The sequence below is a fragment of the Homo sapiens genome, chromosome 12 (genome assembly GCF_000001405.40).
Source record: "Homo sapiens chromosome 12, GRCh38.p14 Primary Assembly".
Classification (NCBI taxonomy): Eukaryota; Metazoa; Chordata; class Mammalia; order Primates; family Hominidae; genus Homo; species Homo sapiens.
In genome coordinates, this window is record NC_000012.12 from 68154303 (window position 1) to 68169790 (window position 15488).

The following is a 15488-nucleotide window of genomic DNA, read 5'->3' on the forward strand; positions in this document are numbered from 1 at the left end:
ACATAATGTATTAAAGGTCACACTACTTGTAATGGAATAACTTGGATTCCAATCCAAGCCTTCTCCCTAGAGCTTACACCCACTACTCCACCCCCACTGGTGTTTGCCAGCATTGGATGAGGGAGAGGAAGATTCTGAAATGAAGGAGGAAATAGGAAGGTGGAGAAGGGGCTAGAAATAAATCTCTGTGTGCCAAGCTAAGCAGTTTAAACTACATTCCATAGCAGAACCTCTGAATTGAATAGTGACATAATTAAATCTGTATCTTAGAAAGATAATTCAAAGAGCTGCTAACTGGAAAAGCGAAAGCCAACAAAATGCTAGTGGAAAGAAATACCACATTTAATGGAACCAAATGCAACTCTAAAATTTCCACAGCTAAGAAGACTCCCCTCCCTACTAATTCATTAATAGGTAGTTCTTTCACTCCAGGTCTCACTTAGAAAAAGTCCAACACAGCATAAGTAGTTGTGAACTTACACTTTATTCATATATATTAGATATTGATAATTTTAACAAATGAGTTACTTTCCATTTGGGTACAGTCACAGTTGTCAACAATATTTGGAAGCACCAGGCATGAAATCTCCTGAGATGCTATGTTTTCATCAGGGTCACCTGACACATTCAAGTTCTGTCTGACATGCCATTAAAGCACTGGCTCAGATTGCAGGCATATTTTCAAACCGGCAGTAACTGGATAGTATCACTTCACTTATAAGTGTTCATTGTATCATCAAGTGAAATAAACACACAACCCATGGGATCTTGCTTAGGTTGGCTGCCTAGTTGGCCCCTGAGATAAAGCCTTGTAATCACATAGCCTTGCCTAATTAGTCAGAAAACAAAGGATTAAGTGAGACAGTCACAGGATATAGGAATTATAAATAATACATATATTAATAGATATTCATTTTCATTACACAAAAGTTGCTATTATAAATACTTATTTGATTGATGAGTCTAAAAATATATTCCCCATATAAATAATGTTAAATATTAATAAATAGATTTAGATTTAAAATTCAAATATTGCAGGCAGGACAACCATTACTGGGATGCTCTTCGACCTCGAAACAGCATCTGACTCCTTTTTCGCTTCCCTGTTTTAGCTGCTGGCGACAGTTCAGCCATCACTTGGATGAGTTCATGTATTGCTTTGCGTTGGACATTCAAGTCAGTTACCTATCGGGAAAGAAAAGAGCAAAATTAATTTCAGGCATATAAGCCATCAGGATATTCTGCTAATGTCATGATGGTCAGTGAAAATAAAAGTATTCCTTTAAAAAATGGACCGTATTACCTTAATATACAATATTTACTTCTTCAGCAGTTGAAGCTAAAAATTACAATTACATTTCTAGTTGTGCTATAATGTGGTGGAGTCCATCACATATCTTTAAATCTACTTCTATAGAATTCTTGAAATTATATAGTGAAAAGACTCCTGGTTGTGGAGTCAGCATAAAAAGGTGGGTTTGAATCTCATGCATGCAATAATTCTGACCTTGAGCCAGCTACTTAACCTCTCTGAACTTCTATTTTCTCATCTAAAGGAGGATGAGACTGTTTCTATGACCTCTCTATCATCAATCTACCAATTATATCACTTTATACTTCAGTCTTTCCTGTATGCATCAAATGAGTAACTATAGGTCAATGATTCTCACTGTTGTGCATAGCAGATTAATCCGGAAACCTGTCAAAGACCTCAGAGATCCAGGTGCATGAAGTGGAAGGACTGTGCCCTGTGCATTCACTAAGCTCCCCAGGTGATTCTGACATCCACCTAAGTTTGAGAACCACTGATCTAGGTTAGGTACCCTAGAAAACACCAAATCCAAAACGAGTGAAAACTGTAATTTTTAATTTCTCCCAGATTAGGTCAGTCTCTCAATTTCCATAATAGATTTTAAAATAAACACCCCCAATCATATTTATATATGGCTTACTGATATATAAAGTTTAAAATTAAGAATTGCAACAACTTTTCCAGTACCCTGCCTTCTAGGCAAGCAAATTGAACTACTTGCATCTCCTCACTCTAACCAATAGGGCCATTTAGATGATGCTTCATAAAATGTGGACCATTTACCTTCCTCTTGGCTCTGCCATTACATTTTTTCTAATCTTGGGAACACTATGGCTACTCACCACATTTCTGAGGATGGCTGGGGGATTACAGCTAAAGACTAATTGTCAAAGGGCATAACATGCATAAAATAGCTTAGCAACTGAGCCAAAGAGAATAATAATTAATAGAGCTCACTCAAGATTGCCCATCAAGAAACAGGAGGTTTGTAGCTTCCAGAAGGAAGAAACCACAGATTTTTTTTCATTTTTTTAAGGCCCAGTTCCTGCAGAGTAGAAAAAATTTTCGACAAGCTGTGTGTTTGCAAGTGACAGATTTTACTTTCCAATGTTCAAATCATCACCAAGAAACTAAGAGACTTATCCAGGACTGAACAGTAAGCCAGGGGCACCACTGGATTAGAAACAAGTGCTGAGTGTCTAGTTTATAACCAAAGGAGACCTGTTGCCATGTCTCTCCTTTCTGTTTCTGGGGGCTTACATGAGAGGAGTGAGAGGCAGGCCCAGCAATAGTGAAAGCTGAGCACATATCCTAAGAACACAAATGCTAGCTTGAAGACCCTGGTCCCTCTCATTTGAGCCCATTTATATCAAAGTCAACCCCAAAGGAATCTAGAGGCCTTTGTCTTCTAGAAAACATTTTGAAAAACATGATTTGTCTTTATGCCTCAACGTTATCTTTCTGTTTATAGAAGCCATAACTTAAAGATACAAGTTCATGAGGTAAGACTTAGGAGTCTAAGGAGTTCTCCAGCTGAGATATTCTGAAAGTTGATAGAGAGTTGATAGAACAATCTTTTCATAAGGTATAAATTCTATCTATTTTTCCCTAAAAACAAACAAACAGCAACCATTCTTGCTTCTAATTGGGCAGTACAATCTGATAGGTTGGCTAGAGACTTGCAGTGGGGTGTCCCTGGTACCTATTCAAAGACTGTAGCTTTCTTCTATCTCATTCTCATTTTCTATTCTTTGCATTGTAGAGTTTTGGAGCAAAGAAGGTCATCAAACTTATACAGTGAGCCTAACAGTTTCCTTTTAAGATGAGGAAACTGAGCCCCAGCCAGCCATGTGATTCATCACAGTTCCTTGGTGGCTGAGTTGGGAGGAGAACACACATCTTCTCAGCTCCTCCCACTGCTCTTTCCATTAAGACAGACAGCCTCTCATTCAAAGTAAGAGAATTTCCATCATATGAGCAAGGGACAATGAGAGAACTGCTTCTCAGTACTCCCCGCTTCTTCCTCACCTACTTCCTCTTCACTGGATTTGTCAACTCACCTGTCTTTACGCAATAGTTACAATGCCAGCATTTCTCTACATTACATACTTCAGCGATTCTCTTACTGGCTTTGCAAAGTCACCCAAACACGAATGGAAATAGTAAGGTAGAGTTTCAGCCATGAGTTGAGTTCATAGCTTTAGCAACTGTTAAATAGCTAATGTCTACTTTCTGGAGAATAAATGCTTTGCAAGACCCTCGGCAATGAAACCAAAGAAAGAATTTAAATAGCCTCACCGAATAATTAGTCAGCTTTTCGAAGTCATCTCGTTTCTTTTTGTTGCTATTGAAAAACTTGACATTCATGTCTTCCTTGATGGTCTCCACACTCTTTTGGATGCTCTGGTCATCTTTAAAGTTTTTAAAAAGTTTGAAGTAAAAGGAGACAATTTGGCTCTGCATTATTTTTCTGTCACTCTCCTTGGAAGGAAAGAGCACAAACAGAGGATGATGTGAATTTATCCATCAGAAAGCAAGCAACAGGAAAATTAGCCAAATGGGAATATTCAGCTTACCTCTTTCCAATTCTTCAAAATGCCTAAGAAAAGAGTTCCATTATCCGCTACATCTGAATGACCTGCATTCTAAAAAAAAAAAAAGAAAAAATTGGTTTACAATTAGCCCATAAATTGCCTTAAAAATATATTTCAAGTTTCATTGAACTCAGATGTGACAATATTCACTGATTTCCTTTTCAACTCTTCTGCTTAGTTCTAACAATAAGTATTCCCAAAAGGCTTATGTGAGATATAGACAAAGACTATTATGTTCTTTTAGCTTTTTTATTTCCCAATATAACCATTAAATTGCAATGTCACAAATGAGCTCAACAAAGCTGATACTCCAAAGGTCCCAAAAACTATAGTAAGCTAAAGAAAGTATTTTCAAGCTAGGCTAAAAAATACAAAAACAAAAAACAGCAAAGCCACCCCACTATAAAATACTGCCCCCCAATGGTACAGGTTTCTATTACATCTACTGTGCCTTCCTGTAGGGTATTATTATACGAGCTTTAAAAGATAGTTCCAAACATGTGCGAGTGTGTGTGTGTGTGTGTGTGTGTGTGTGATTTGATTTTGTGTTGTAAGAATAAAATCAATTGTGAATGTCTGAATATTATTATGACAGCTATAATTATAACAGCTAAGTTTTAAACAAATAATGAAATATTTAAAATGTAAAAACTTTTCATTAACCATCAATAAAATTTTAAAAGAAACTCAAAAAATTCACTTAAAATTTTTAAACATTCCTTAGCCAGAATCATAATTCTTCCAAAATCCCAGTGAGCAACGAAGTTCCGGAATACTTCACAAGTAATATAGATAGAGAAGCAGAATGTTGAAATCACTTTTTGGAGAAAATCACCTATCAGTTATTTTTTTAAGCCAAAGCTTTAAGGACCTTTTTGACTTTAATTTGTAAACATTTCCTATTACCTTTTTAATGCTAATCTTGACCTTAGAGTCTGAGAAGTCAAAAACTAATAACCAATCATTTTTTTCAATCTGCATACTCCTTGACTATCACAACTGAATGAGTTCCCACCACAAAATTATTAACATCATTATGCTTCATACCCATATTATGCCCATCTTTTGGAAAATTCATAAATCCCTTTTAAGTCTCTATACAAACTGAGCAGAAGGTTAAAACAATATCTAGATTATTTAGTCAAGGAACTCATCTAGTCAATAATTAACAAAATAACACCAAATCTCAAAATGACTGCCTACAAGAGATGACAGCCTATCAGAGATGCTACAGCAAGTCGATATTCAGTCATTTTCAACCACAAACAAGTACTATTAAAAAGTCATACTTACAAAATATTTCTTAAGGTTTTCTGCTTCTTTTACATATGGGTCCTGGCAGTAACAGCCAAGAGAACCCAAAACGATGCAGAGCTGAAAAGCCAAGATATAACTTGTATATTTCATCGTTTCCGAGAGAATTAAGCCAAAGAAGTTGAAATCAGTAGTTCTTGTATCAAGCTGATCAGGTCCAAAGGACTTAACTGATCTTTCTCTTCTAATAGCTGATCTTCAGATGATCAGAACAATGTGCTGCACCTCCTCTGGCTGCTGGTATTTATACCTAATTGAAGTCTCCTGAGGATTACGTATTTTCACAAGTTTTTTAAGATGAGATGGTGACAGATAGGCAGGGATGATAGTTTGTATTAATAACTAAGGTTTTGTGGCATTTGGGTGTTGTAGTTAGAGTTTCCTTTAGACTCCTTGGGTCCTTTGACGATGAGACAGACCCATTATGCCCACCTGTGCCATTCTGGTGGGATTCTTTGAAGGCACTTTTACTTCACACCATTCAAGGACTGGAAATTTTTTTGTACCTCCCCACTTCGCCCTGGTAAAATGTTGACTCTTCATTCACAAAGCACATTGATCATTTGCTTGTGGTTGGGAACAAGTGAAAAACGAAATTCTAGGGCCTCTCAAACCTTTACAAAGGGGCAGCCTTTTAAAATTTTTCTTGCAAATGACCAGAAAGCAAGGAAAGAATGCGGTTAAAAGAACAATTTGGTGAGGAAGTCCTTCATCAGAGTTGGTTAGTAAAATATCTACCACAAGTTTCAAATTGCTCTAGATCAGCACTGCCCAGTAGAAATACAATACAAGCCACACAGGTAAATTTAAATGATCTAGTAGCCTCATTAATAAAAGTTTTTTTAAAAGGTAAATATAATTTTAAAATATATTGTATTTAAACCAATATATCCCAAATAGTACTTCAGTATGCATCAATATACTACATTGTTAATAAGGTATTTGACATTCTTTTTGTCATATTAAATCCTTGAAATACAGTGTAGAGAATATTCCCAGGGGGAGTTCCAGACGCAGTGGCTCACACCTGTAATCCCAGCACTTTGGGAGGTTGAGGCGGGTGGATCACAAGGTCAGGAGTTTGAGACCAGCCTAGCCAATATGGTGAAACCCCATCTCTACTAAAAATACAAAAAAATTAGCCAGGCATGGTGGTGTATGCCTGTAATCTCAGCTACTAGGGAGGCTGAGGCAGGAGAATGGCTTGAACCCAGAAGGTGGAGGTTGCAGTGAGCCGAGATCGCGCCACTACACTCCAGCCTAGGTGACAGAGTAAGATTCCGTCTCAAAAAAAAAAAAAGAAAAAAAGAAAAAAGGAAAGAAATACAGTGTATATTTTAAGCCTACGGTGCATCTCAATTTGGTCTAGTCGTATTTCAAACGCTTAATGGGCACATACTGCTAGGTGCTACTATATTGAACAGCATAGCTCTAAACAATTTATTGTTCCAAATAATCAGTACTAACAGAGAATCTTTTTAACTTTTTATTTCTTTGTCTTTCAGATACAAAAAAAAATAGGATTCTTTCTCCTCCTTTGTAATTTATTTATGAAGTACAACACTTTGGGATGGCACAAAAAGCCCTCCACTCTTTGGTTCAAACCCACTTTGCATTTCTACCTGTACTGTGTACATAACAGTATTGCAGTTATGGGGCAAACTTGATTCCTGACTCCTCTACTATCTAGCTATATGATTGTGAGTTAGCTTCTTAAATCTTCTATGACTCAGTCTCCTTACCTGTAAAACTGGCTTGATAATAGTATCTTCTTCCATGCTTCAGTTGAAAATTAAATCAGGTAATCCTCATAAAGTGCTAGGAATTTTTCCTGGCATATAGTAATCACTAATAAAAGTTTATTATTATTTTGGCACATTGGATGACTAGTCATTTCTTTTTTTTTTTTTTTTTTTTTGAGACGGAGTCTTGCTCTGTCACCCAGGCTGGAGTGCAGTGGCGCAATCTCGGCTCACTGCAAGCTCTGCCTCCCGGATTCACGCCATTCTCCCGCCTCAGCCTCCCGAGTAGCTGGGACTACAGGCACTCGCCACGCCCGGCTAATTTTTTTTTTTTTTTTTTTTTTTGTGCTATTTTTAGTACAGACGGGGTTTCACTGTGTTAATCAGGATGGTCTCGATCTCCTGACCTCGTGATCCGCCCGCCTTGGCCTCCCAAAGTGCTGGGATTACAGGCGTGAGCCACCGCACCCGGCCTAGTCATTTCTTTAAAAAAAAAAAAAAAAAGTACCCTGGACCTTTGCTCATGCTGTTTCTTTGGTCTTGAGTTCTTTTTCCCCTCATTTGTGCCCCTGAGAGTAGTAGCCATCCATCCAAGCCCGGCTTAAAAATTACCATCTCCCTGAGTTTTTCCAAAATTATCCTCCTTAAAATTAATCTTAGATTCTCTATACAAGTCTTGGTTTATACTTTTCTAAGAGTTCTGATTCCTCAATCTTGATTGAAGATAGCTATTCGCGTGTCTTCTGCCATGTTAGATTGAGTTTCTGAAAATCAGAAATTGTTTCATTGCTTTTATGATGGCTTTCTCTTCCCTAAAATATTTTAGCATGGAGATTTGCTCATAAAGAGCACTGAATAAATGTAAATTCGAATGCTTGCCTAAGGCTCTCTTTTGAGTTATTTGCCCTCAAATTCTAATTCCGATGTTATCAGGCCTAACCTGTAAGAAACTAGTTTTTAATTAAATAATATTTATGATTAATGTTAGAAACATGATGCTGTGTCTCTTTAGCCAACACTTGCTGACTGCGACAATTTCGTGTATTCTTTTATGTGGGAAAAAAAAGCCAGAAAGCTCTTTGAGGGGCGATCTTCCCAAAGAATAAATAAGATCAAAACATTTATGTGGAACCAAACCTCATGTTAAGCAAGTGAAGAATGTAAAAATTACATTGTTGCATACAAAGCTCTACTGTTGCTCTGCTCAAGAAAAATTACGTCCAGAGAACGTGCTTGCAGGTGGCACAGGGATTTGGGTCAGAGCCTGAGACACTTTGCAGGTTCTCAATACCTTCCAATGCCCAACCTCTGAGTCACTGGAAGGAATGTTCCCAACTGTCTGGAAATAAGTAAAAATTAGTTCTGCCTGGTCCTTGATTGCTCCACTGGAATGTAGTACTAGGATTGAGGAGTTAAGAATAGTGGGATCCATAAGAGGGAATGATATACTGCCTAGCCACTTGTAAATTGAGAATGCCTATTCAAAATAACAGATTATATTAAGAATATGTTTACAGTGTGGCAACTGTTTACAAAGAGTAATTACACGGCTAAAATCCAAGCTCTAATAACTCTTGATGGCATGGCCAAGCACAGAATTATGGAATTATAGATTATCTATGGTCAACCCCTTACCTTTTAGATTTGTAAATCCAGACCCAGAAAGACAAGTGATGTGCTTAAATTCATTCAACTGGCTAATGCAGAACTGAGTCTAAATCCAAGATCTTCCCAAAGAGGATGGAACCCTTAGTCAATCCATCCCCCAATCTATCAATATCCATTGAGATGATTGCATGTACCTCTACGTTAGATATGTGAATTCAAATAACTACACCCTATCAGGCTTTAGTTTCTGAGATTTTTTCTTCTGTAGAATTTGTGAGATAGTAATCACACTTTAATTCCTTAAAACATAGTAAGACTGCAAGTATAATTTGAAATTGTTTCTGAAATATATTTTTGAAATTTTTGCCTAGACATCCCAGCCAACCTGACTTCATGGACATGCAACCTGTGCAGTCTGACAGGACCCTGAACTTAGAACAGCCCACACTTGGTTTAATGCTCTGTTGTCACTTCCTTGAAATTTCTAATAACTCTTCAAACAAAGGACACACATTTTCGTTTTGCACTTGTTTCCACAAATTATGCAGCTGGTCCTGCATTCCAGACTGGCAGTGAAACATCTGCTATTAGATTTTCATCTTTCAACATATGATTCTTTTGTTCAGAACATTATCACTACAATAAGTATATACGTTTGTGATCTTTTCCTGTCTTGTCAACTTTGCAAACAAAGAAATTTCTCTCTCTTTTCTGCCTGTAAAACACCTTTTGTTGCACATGCAAACTAGAGGTTTCACACTTTGTTGGTTTGGCCAGTTCTGAGACTGCAGAATAAGTCACCATCAAGATATACTTTAAAAGTTTTGCAAAGCCATCAGGAGCCAAGGTGTGACCATATTACTAAAACAGAGGGGCTGAAAACTTTCTTTTTTCTTTTCAACTAGACTTTTTTTCTGAAAACTGGCTATGGTTATACATGACACATCAGCAACATTTCAATCATATCTCATGCTATCCTCAGTCTTAACTGAGTAGGTAGTCAGTAAGCCAAAACTTACACCTTGGTTTCCCTTTTCCTCTGTCATCAGCAGTCACATCCTAGCACTCACAACCAAATTATCTCATCCAGACTTTGGCGTAGATTTCTTCCACTCAATATGAGTCAATATTGGATCCATGCCCCCACGCTATTTTGACTTCCGGAACTCCTGACATCATGCAAGCCAAACCTACGGAAGAAGCATGACATACAGAATAGAAGTCCACACGGAGTCAGATTTTCCCCGCAATTTGACTCATAAAATCCCGTAAGTTAGAGGAAGATTTTTCTGAATCCCCCCTTTTCTTTTGTGCCTTCTGGCCATTTTTGAGGAGTGGTTCAAAGAATATAGAAGGTATGCTACTTACACAGTACAATCATCAGATTACAATATTCTTAATTTTATATCAGATGGGATTGTGTATTGATAATCCAGAGATTCATGGTCCTGCTTTGAAGGTTGTATTTTTGTTCCACAAGGAATTTTAATGCACCAAGTGCCAAATACTTCGATTGATATGGGGTTTCCAAAGAAGGATGAAAAGTTCTATTGTGAAAATGTTGGTTTATATCCCAATTTCAATTAATTAATATGTGCTTATTGAATTGAATGCCTACTAGATATCCATAGCTTTAGGGGTTACAAAGAAGTTAGCAGTGAGACAATCCGGTAGGAGCATATGTCACCACATTGGAAGCTAGGATTGATTCCTGTTCTTGTTGCTGAATAGGTAGAATAGGTATCCATATTCCCCACCTTTTCTCCATGTACATCCTCTCCAGGTGGTTCATATCGTTAAGAGGACTTATTATTGGTCAGAGGGAAATACACACATTGACATATGTATTGTGTTTCCTCCTCCTATACCCAAGGCAGACGTCACTAATCAGTCACGGCATTCCTTTCTATTAAATCCAGATATCACTGCTGAATCCTTCTCAACACTGAAATCCAGATAGATACTGACTTATTTATATTTCATTGCTTATTTTCCCTATTAGGGCAAAGGTTTACTTGTTGTTATGCCTCTTAGATCCTCCATATGGGTTCATTCAACTTACAAAGAAGTAAAAGGCATAATCTCTTCCTCCAAGAAAATTAGTATTGGGGGAAAACGTAACAATCCATGAAGTAATATAAGGGAAAGAACTTTGGCCTAAGAGAAAGGAGTCCCAAATTCTGGTCCTGTGTCTGCAAGTGATGTGAGATTTTGAACAAAGCCTTTACCCATGCCTCATATTTAACCACATCATCTTTAAAATGAAGACTTAACTCTAAATGAACTCTAAGTTTCCTTCTATTCTTAATATCCTACATTTCTATGATTGTGATTTATGAGGAATATAAGACATTACTAAGGACTAAGGTTGCAAGAAGTAAAGACTCCAACAGACTTAGAAATTCAGAGAAATCAGCCAAGTGCAGTGGCTCATGCCTGTAATCCCAGCAGTTTTGGAGGCCAAGGCAGGCAGATCACCTGAGGTCAGGAGTTCGAGACCAGCCTGGCCAACATGGTGAAACCTCATCTCTACTAAAAATACAAACCCCATCTCTACTAAAAATACTAATCTCATCCCTACTAAAAATACAAAAATTAGCCGGGCATAGTGGCGTGTACCTGTAATCCCAGCTATTCAGGAGGCTGAGGCAGGAGAATCACTTGAACCCAGGAGGCGGAGGTTGCAGTGAGCCGAGACTGCACCACTGCACTCCAGCCTGGGTGACAGAGCAAGACTCTGTCTAAAACAAACGAACAAACAAAAAAAAGAAAAGAAAGAAATTCAGAAAAAATCATTGTCTGAATGGTGGAAAAGTTGGGAAATTTTACCCATCACTTGAGTTTTTAATTTAATTTGAATTTGAGCTTTGAATTGGATTGAATTTTTAAACATACATACAATTTGTAGGAATAATACTTCACAGCTTGTACTTAAACCTTCAGGTCATGTGCTTTTTTACCCCAGTGATCTCAAGAAATGAGTTGTCCTCAGGGTAGCCCCTGAAATGGCAATGGCATGAGGCTTTGAAAACTTGTATATTTTTCCAATGGAAACTTACTCCTGTATCTCTCATGATAAAAGTTCTATACAGCAGACTGGCAGGTTCACGTTCTCTCCTATGCTACCTGGCAGAGGAATTCTGAGTCCATGATGAGCCAATAGATAAGTTTCTTTTCTCACCAGTGTTTAACCTGTCATTATTACCATGTCACCAATCCCTGAACCAATTTAAGAAGTATCAGAATTAAATTCCCATCCATTGATTTTTCAAATGGAAATATTTTTTAATGGTTGTAAAATTATGTGGGATCTTTTAAATAAAAAAAAAAACAGAAAATACAGAACAGCATAAGAAAAGAAAAAAATCACCTATGATTTCACTTTCCACAGGTAAATATAGTTAGCTTTTGGAGACAAAGTATTTCATTATTTTTTTCTACCTACATAACACAGTGCCTGGCACAAAATTTTTTCCCAATAAACTTCTGTGGATTAACGAAATATGAGCCAAAGTGATTTAATGATTAAGTTCAAAGGCTCCGGAGTCAGGCTGTGTGTGTTCAATCATGACTTTGCTCCTTACTGTCTTGTCGATTATTAGTGCATTACTTAACTTCTCTGGGTATCACTTTCCTCGTCTGTAAAAAGGTGATATAAATAATAACTGTCTCAAAAGATTTCATGAGTATAAATTATGTCAACATGTGTAATAGTGCAATGCCTTGCATGTGGTAAGAGCTCATTAAATGCACAGTCATTATTACTAGTGGCTTCCAATATTCAGATTCAGTCTCCTCCTAGCAAATGGAATAAGATACTTCACGGCCTCTTTCAATTAAATGGTATCTTGTGACTTTTTTCTGGCCAATCTACTCTAAGTAATGACAGACATTACTTTGGATTAGAGTAGATTGGCCAAAAAAAGTCATGAGATACCATTCTGGGCCAAGGCCAAAGAAAGCCCCTGAGAATCCTTCCAGCTCTCTCTTCCCTTGCTGCAGTAATGATAAGGGTCACATGTTTTGAGGACACGAAACATGGCAGATAGAATACATGCTACCTCTACATTCTTTCAGAATCCGTAAGACAAAAATAACAACATAAAAGGCTATAAAGCCTCAACAACAAAAAAAGCCAAAAGCAAATGAGAAATGTCAATGAAGTTATGGAAGATGGAAAGAAGATGAGCAAGTGGTGAGTAACTTCAACTTTAGATTTCTCCACTGCGGCAAGTACCAAGTAGAGGAAATTTAGTTCACACTGCAGATTAGTAGAAAACTCAGGAATTGTGTTATTAATCACTTCTGAAGAAGGAAGTTCAGGGTGGGATTGAAAATAAGACAATTGGTTGAAAAATGTATATAAGATGTAGTTAGATCCCTCGTATCCCACTTAGCCACACCACTGCCCCCGTATACCTGTTTGAAGACTGGAAGTTTACCTTCCAGCAAGGTTCTGGATATCTTCTGGATATTTAGCATAGCTGAGAAGGAAGTAAGTACCTTCATAAGGTTTGGATTTATTTGAAAGTCATCATACTGAGCAGTGAGAACACGAGGCTTCCAGAATGCTTACTATCAGGCTTATATTCCTAGTGTCTAGGAAATTGCCAAGCCTAAAAGAAAAGATGTACTAATGTGGGGTTCCTGCCAGTGAAACTCACCAGTTTCAAGTATCACCCTACTAAGAGGCTTGTAAGTCAGGAAGTCCAATCAATATATTTAATGTACCCAATCCAACAATTTGGACTTTGTTATAAAACATAAACAACATTAATGAACAGAAAAATACTTGAAAAAATACTTTAGGATAAAATACAAAGTCTAAAAAACAAACAGAAAAAATAAATAAAAGAAATGAAGTTTAATGCCGAGAAAAATAACAAAGAGAAAAAAATTTAAAAAGTAATAGAAGATTCATGGAACAATAACATTTAGAGAAGAAGAAGCTCTTAGAACTTAAAAGCTGGTGGTAGAGCCAGGTGCAGTGGCTCATGCCTGTAATCCCAGCACTTTGGGAGGCCAAGGTGGGCAGATCACTCGAGGTCAGGAGTTCGAGACAAGCCTGGCCAACATAGTGAAACCCCGTCCCTACTAAAAATATAAAAATTAGCCAAGCATGGTGGCACACATCTGTAGTCTCAGCTATTTAGGAGGCTGAGGCTGGAGGATTACTGGAGCCCGAGAGGCAGAGGTTGCAGTGACCCAAGATCGCACCACTACACTCCAGCCTGGGTGACAGAGTGAGACTCAGTCTCAAAAAAAATGGTGGCAGAAGTTTAAAAGCAATAGAAGGGTTGAAATATAAAGTTGAAGAAATCTCTAAGAAAGAACAAAATGACCAAGAACTGGAAAAATATAAAGAAATTCACGAAAACTAAAGAATCTACTTAGAAATCCAACACTTAAGTAACAGGTGCTCCAGAAAGAGAAAATATGTAATTGAAGGAAGAAAATTTTCAGAAGATTATTTGTATAATTTTTCCATAGCTGAAGAATGTGAGTTTCCAAAATGAAAAACCCAACGAATGCCCAGCCCAATGAGTTTAAAAAATAAAAATAAAAAGACAGGCCTTGGAGTGCATTTTTAAATTTCGGAGAATCTTGTATGTGAGAAGATCCTCAAAGTTCAAGAGAGAAAACATAGGTTGTAAACATTATAAATACAAAGGATGCAGAAACAGAATGTCACCGGACTTCTCAATAGCTATTCTGGAAGCTAGAGGTTGATGGAGCAATGTTTTTAAATATTGGAATAAAATAGTGTCCAAACTAGAATTTCACGCTATGTCAAACAATTAATAGTTAGGATGAGACAATTTTTTTTATTCATGGGAGATTTCATGACTTTATGTCCCATGTGCCCTTTCTCATGAAGCATCTTGAGAAAGTCAAGAAAGTGTTTAACCTAAATAAAGAAATTAAATTAAGGAAGAAGACCTGGGATCCAGGAAACAAAGGATTTAACACAGGAAAAAGCTAGACTATTTTCTAGCAGGTGGTGAGGGAAGTCCCAAGAGGATCATTGTGCAGCAGGCCTACAGAGCAACCAGCACTGGTTGGAACTAAAGGACTGGGAAGCCCAGGAGAAATGTCTCCAAGAAAAGAAATGGAATTAATATGAACATTACGAAGAAATTTCACCCCTGACAGAGACTGGGGTAGGGGAAGGTAAATTAATGATGAGTATGTGGAAAACTAAGAAAACCAACCAAACAAAGCCAATTATTAACTTCAGGAAAAGCAAATATTGTGCACGAAAAAAATGTAATATTGTACCACAAATGTCATGAACAAGAATTACCTAATCATAGTCATGTCCATTTTACCACCTAAAGTGTAATATAGCTATAATGGGAAGACAGAGGACAAAGGGGCTAAGTGTATATGTGTATAGGGTAGAGTAAGTCATAGTCATATTACCTGAAATGGGAAAAATTCAATGTAAGAAATAGGTAGTTTTACTGGGTAAGTAGAAGTTGAGCTAAGAAATGAAGCTAAAGGAATTGAAAGTGATAGCCTCAGAGAAGTATGTTTTAGAGATGGAACTGCATGAATCAGAGTTACTGGCTTTTTGTTATAAGCCTTGTGGTATTTGGAACATCTGGGAGTCCCCAAAGCCACCTTCATTTCTGACACCAGCTGAAAGTTTGGAACCAGCCCCAGGTTCAATAATTCACTAGAAGGACTCATAGAACTAAGAAAAACCATTATACTCATGATTATGGTTTATTACAGCAAAAGAATACAGATTAAAATCAGCAGAGGAAAGAGGTCCATAGGGCAGGGCTCAGGAGCACTCCATGCTTAGAGCTTCCAGTCATTCTCTACCAGTAGAGAAGTGGACAGTGCTAACTTTTCCCAGCCATGATGTGTGACAATATACACAGAGTACTGCAGACTAGGGGAGCTTACTTG

At 37.4% G+C, this 15488-nt stretch overlaps 1 protein-coding gene across 1 annotated transcript; it reads right to left on the reverse strand.

Annotated features, from left to right (window-relative positions):
- On the reverse strand, positions 466 to 5438 carry IFNG (interferon gamma). Its single transcript, NM_000619.3, has 4 exons — positions 5200 to 5438; positions 3889 to 3957; positions 3611 to 3793; positions 466 to 1185 (listed from the first exon to the last, which is right to left on the reverse strand). Exons 1-4 carry the CDS (start codon positions 5311 to 5313, stop codon positions 1051 to 1053), a joined length of 501 nt encoding a protein of 166 aa, NP_000610.2. The 5' UTR covers positions 5314 to 5438; the 3' UTR covers positions 466 to 1050.